General features: G+C 44.3%; 1 non-coding gene across 1 annotated transcript; it reads left to right on the top strand.

Annotated features, from left to right (window-relative positions):
* Window positions 356–460, top strand: MIR3912 (microRNA 3912). The gene has a single exon (NR_037474.1). It is a non-coding gene; the product is annotated as a microRNA 3912 (primary transcript).

Genomic DNA, 5028 nt, shown 5'->3' with positions numbered 1-5028 from the left:
TAAGAGAGCTCGGAGGGTGGGCCGACTCTGACTTCTTGCCGCTCTTAATCTTTAACATTCCTCCTGAAAGAAAGCGGGTGACTTGTAAGAACTACAGAAGCCTTAATTCGAATATTTGGGAGCGAGCATGGGAATTAACGTTTTAAGCTACACCTTGACAAACTCCGAGGCACCCCAGCACCCCGCGGGCATTGGGGCGTTCTGAAGACCCGTAATCTTTTTTTTTTAAGCCTCAACATATCAAACAAATTTAAGAAGTGAGGAATACAAATGATAGCCTCAGAAAGGAAGACACCCCCACCCCAAGGCATTATTTCTTACAGGAAAATTATAGAGACGATTTCAGTGTCTATCAAGAGAGGAATGAACAGTTAAATTATAACATGTCCATATTATGGGTTAGTTGTGGACACATACTAACGCATAATATGGACATGTTATAATTTAACTGTTCCTTTCTGAGAGCTCCTGTGTCACATAAAGCTTTGAGTCACTTAAATTTGTTATGCCTTTTTTTGTGTGTGTGTGGAGACAGAGTCTCGCTGTGTTGTCCAGGCTGGAGTGCAGTGGCGTGATCTCCGCTGGATGCAACCTCCGCCTCCCGGGCTCCCGAGTAGCGAGGACTACAGGTGCATGCCACCACGCCCGACTAATTTTTGTATTTTAGGAGGGATGGGGTTTCGCTGTGTTCTCCAGGCTGGGCTCAAACTCCTGACCTCGGGTGATCCGCCTGTCTCTGCCTTCCAAAGTGCTGGGATTTCAGGCGTGAGCCACCGCACCCAGCCAGCATTTTTTTTTTTTTTAAACGGGGTCTCGCTCTCTTGCCCAGGCTGCAGTGCAGTGGCAAGATCTCTGACTCACGAGTTCTGCCTCTTGAGTTCCAGCAATTCTCGTGCCTCAGCCTCCCAAGTAGCTGGGATTACAGGTGCCTGCCACCGCGTCCAGCTAATTGTTGTATATTTAGTAGAAACAGGGTTTCGCCATGTTGGCCTCCCAAAGTGCTGGGATTACAGGCGTGAGTCACCACACCCGGCCACTGTTTTATTTTTTATTTTAATTTTTTTTTTTTTTGAAACCGAAGTCCCGCTCTGTCATACAGGCTGGAGTGCAGTGTTATGATCTTGGCTCACTGTGACCTTTGCCTCCTGGGTTCAAGTGATTGTCCTGCCTCAGCCTCCCAAGTAGCTGGGATTACAGGCGCCCCCCACCACGCCTAGCTAATTTTTGTATTTTTAGTAGAGATGGGGTTTCACCATGTTGGCCAGGCTGGACTCGAACTCCTGACCTGAAGTGATCCACCCGCCTCAGCCTCTCAAAGTGCTGGACTTACATGCGTGAGCCATGGCGCCCGGCCTTATCTGAGACTTTAAAAAAAAACAATCCAGCAAAAGGGGAGGAGAAAGGAGAGTGGGAAGGTATATATGAAATAAGATTGACTACATGATGATAATTGTTAAAACTGGGTGATGGGTATATGGTTGTTCATCATAGGATTCCTTCTATTTTTGTTCTTGTTTGAAAATTTCCATGATAAAATGTGTTAAAAAATGAAGATTAAAATAAAACTTGTATTTAAAAAATGGTATATCAGTTTATCCTGTGGAATACTGTGCAACTTCTAAAAAGAATACAGTGGTCCCCTATATATTATATCCTGGAAAGATAGCTATGCCACATGAAGTAAAAAAGCAAAGTTGGAGAACAATATATATATAATACGACCCTGCTTACGTAAACAGTGAATGCCAGGTGCAATGGCTCATGCCTGTAATCCCAGCACTTTGGGAGGCTGAAGCAGGAGGGGTTGGAGTTGAAGACCAGCCTGGGCAACATAGTGAGACCCTGTTTCTACAAACAAACAGAAAAAATTAGCCGGGTGTGGTAGCACATGCCTGTAGTTCCACCTACTCAGGAGGCTGAGGTAGGTGGGAAGATCTTAAGCCTGGAAAGTCAAGGCTGCTGTGAGTCATGTTCACACCACTACTCTCTAGCCTGGGTGACAGAGTGAGAGCCTGTCTCTAAAAAAACCAACCAACCAACCAAAAAAAAGAAAAAAGAAAAGAAGCATTTATATGTACTGTATATATATTTGTAAGTGCCTGCTCTACTTACTGTGCAAATCCATTTCTTAGAATACTCTACAAAACTACTTTCAGACATTAATAATTATATAGGTACAAAGATATTTACTAAAGCTGTCTCTCCCTACTTGGAAAGCTGAGGCAGGAAAATCACTTGAACCCAGGAAATGGAGGTTGCAGTGAGCTGAGATTGAGCCAGTGCACTCCAGCCTGGGTGACAGAGTGAGACTCCATCTCAAAATAGATATATTTATTTCTAATAGTATGAATTACCCAGTTCAAATACCCCTGTCTCTTACAGTTGATTTGCTTGAATAAGGATCAAAACAAGGTCTACACATTACCTTGAGTCATGTTGTCATTTAACATGTTCCTGGCCGGGTGTGGTGACTCACGCCTGTAATCCCAGCACTTTGGGAAGCCGAGGAGGGCGCATCACCTGAGGTCGGGAGTTCAACACCAACCTGACCAACATGGAGAAATCCCGTCTCTACTAAAAATACAAAATTAGCCAGGCGTGGTGGCATGCCTGTAATCTCAGTCTGTAATCTTCTGTAAAGGAGAATGTTTCTTGATCAATTATTTGATTACCCTAAAAAATCGTTTTCGGCCAGGTGCAGTGGATCACACCTGTAATCCCAGCATTTTGGGAGGCCAAGGCAGGTGGATCACCTGAGGTCAGGAGTTTGAAAACAGTCTGACCAACATGATGAAACCCTGTTTCTACTAAATTAAAAAAAAAAAATAGCTGAGTGTGGTGGCATATGTCTGTAATTCCAGCTACTTGGGAGGCTGAGGCAGGAGAATTGCTTGAACCTGGGAGGCGGAGGTTGCATTGAGCCAAGATTGCACCATTGCCCTCCAGCCTGGGCAACAAAAGTGAAAACTCCGTCTCAAAAAATAATAATAATAATTTTCTTTCTAAGATGGGGTCTCACTCTGTCACCCAGCCTGGAGTGCAGTGGGGTGATCTCGGCTCACTTCCGCCTCCCAGGTTCAAGTGATCCTCCCATCTCAGCCTACTAAGTAGCTGGGACTGCAGGCAAAGGCCACTATGCCCAGCTAATTTTTTGTATTTTTGGTAGAGACGATTTCACCATGTTGCTCAGGCTGGTCTTGAACTCCTGAGCTCAAGCAACCCACCCACCTCAGCCTCCCCAAGTGCTGGGATTACAGGTGTGAGCCACCATGCCTGGCCAAAAATAATTTGTACCACCCTGGGCAACAGGGAGACCCCATCTCTACAAAAAATTTTAAAATTCGTTGAGTGTGGTGGCTCACACATATGGTCCCTGCTACTCAGGAAGCTGAGGTGGGAGGATCACTTGAGACAGGGAGGTCGAGGCTGTGGTAAACCGTGATCAAGCCACTGCACTCCAGCTTGGGCAACAGAGAAAGACACTGTCTCAAAAAATAAATAAATAGAAATAATTTGTATAAGAAAAGCAGGAAAATGATTGAGTCTTTCCCTTTATTTCCTTGTTTTCAGAATAAGGTGGAATCCCAAGTGTCTCCAAAGGTGACTAATTTTTTTTAGTATCTTTACCTGCACATGAGTTTTACTACAGCTAATGTTTCAATTTGTTTTAATAATGATTTTTTGGTACTCAAATGGTTCATTGTGGCAATGAGAACTCTTTCAATTTGGCATTGATGTTTTTGTGAAATAATTCCAGCAATATCTGACAGCTTTCTTACATTCTGGTATGATAAAATATTCCTGGTTCAGACGGAGCTTGGTGGATTGTGCCTATAATCCCAGCTAGGTGACTCAGGAAGGAGGATCCCTTAAGGGCAGGGGTACGAGACCAGCCGGGGCAACATAACAAGACCTCATCTCCCTTTATTTTTTTTTGAGACAGAGTCCTGCTCTGTCGCCCAAGACTGGAGCGCAGTGGCACAAACTCGGCTCACTGCAACCTCCGACTTCCGGGTTCAAGAGATTCTCTTGCCTCAGCCTCCCAAGTAGCCGGGATTACAGGCTCCTGCCAGCACTCCTAGCTAATTTTTTTGTATTTTTAGTAGAGACGGGGGTTTTGCCACGTTGGCCAGGCTGGTCTCAAACTCCTGACCTCATGATCTGCCTGCCTTGGCCTCCCAAAATGCTAGGATTACAGGCATGAGCCACCGTGCCCGGCCTAACCTCATCTCTAATAAAATAAAATAAAAATTTCAGGTTCAGGCTGCTCAGCCTATGGAATAGCCATTCTTTATTCCTTTACTTTCCTAATAAACTTGCTTTCAATTAAAAAATAATAATTCCAGGTTCACCTTGTACATTTTCTGCCCCAACATAGATTAAGCCATTTCTTTAAGGACTCTGGTTCCTTTCAGTGGAAAGTGGCATTAGAGACCACATTCTGGTTATGAAAAGCACTCATTGCTATTGCATTGGTTGTTTTTCTAGTGTTTTTCAATGGATAGAGCTAGGAAATACTTTCTTAGATAACAAATAATATACAATACTCTATTCATTGCTTTGCATTTTCTTCTTTCTTTTCTCTCACTTAGCAGCATATTCTAGACACCACTCTATGGCAGCATATAAAGTTTTTTTTCTCACATTCACAGCTGCATTTTCTATTTTACAGCTGCATAGTGTGGATGTACTCTATTTAACCAGTTCCTTATTAATGGACATTTGGGTTGTTTCTAGTCTTGTGCTGTTATAAATTATAGAGCAGGCTAGGAGCAGTGGCTCACGTGTGTAATCCCAGCACTTTGGGAGGCTGAGGCAGGAGGATCATCTGAGGTCAGGAGATCGAGACCAGCCTGGCTAACATGGTGAAACCCCATCTCTACTATACAAAATACAAAAAATTAGCTGGGCGTGGTGGTGGGCGCCTGTAGTCCCAGCTACTTGGGAGGCTGAGGCAGGAGAATGGCGTGAACCCAGGAGGCAGAGCTTGCAGTGAGCCGAGATCGCACCACTGCATTCCAGCCTGGG

This window comes from Homo sapiens, chromosome 5, assembly GCF_000001405.40.
Source record: "Homo sapiens chromosome 5, GRCh38.p14 Primary Assembly".
Taxonomy (NCBI): Eukaryota; Metazoa; Chordata; class Mammalia; order Primates; family Hominidae; genus Homo; species Homo sapiens.
This window is presented reverse-complemented; position numbering and strand designations above follow the sequence as displayed.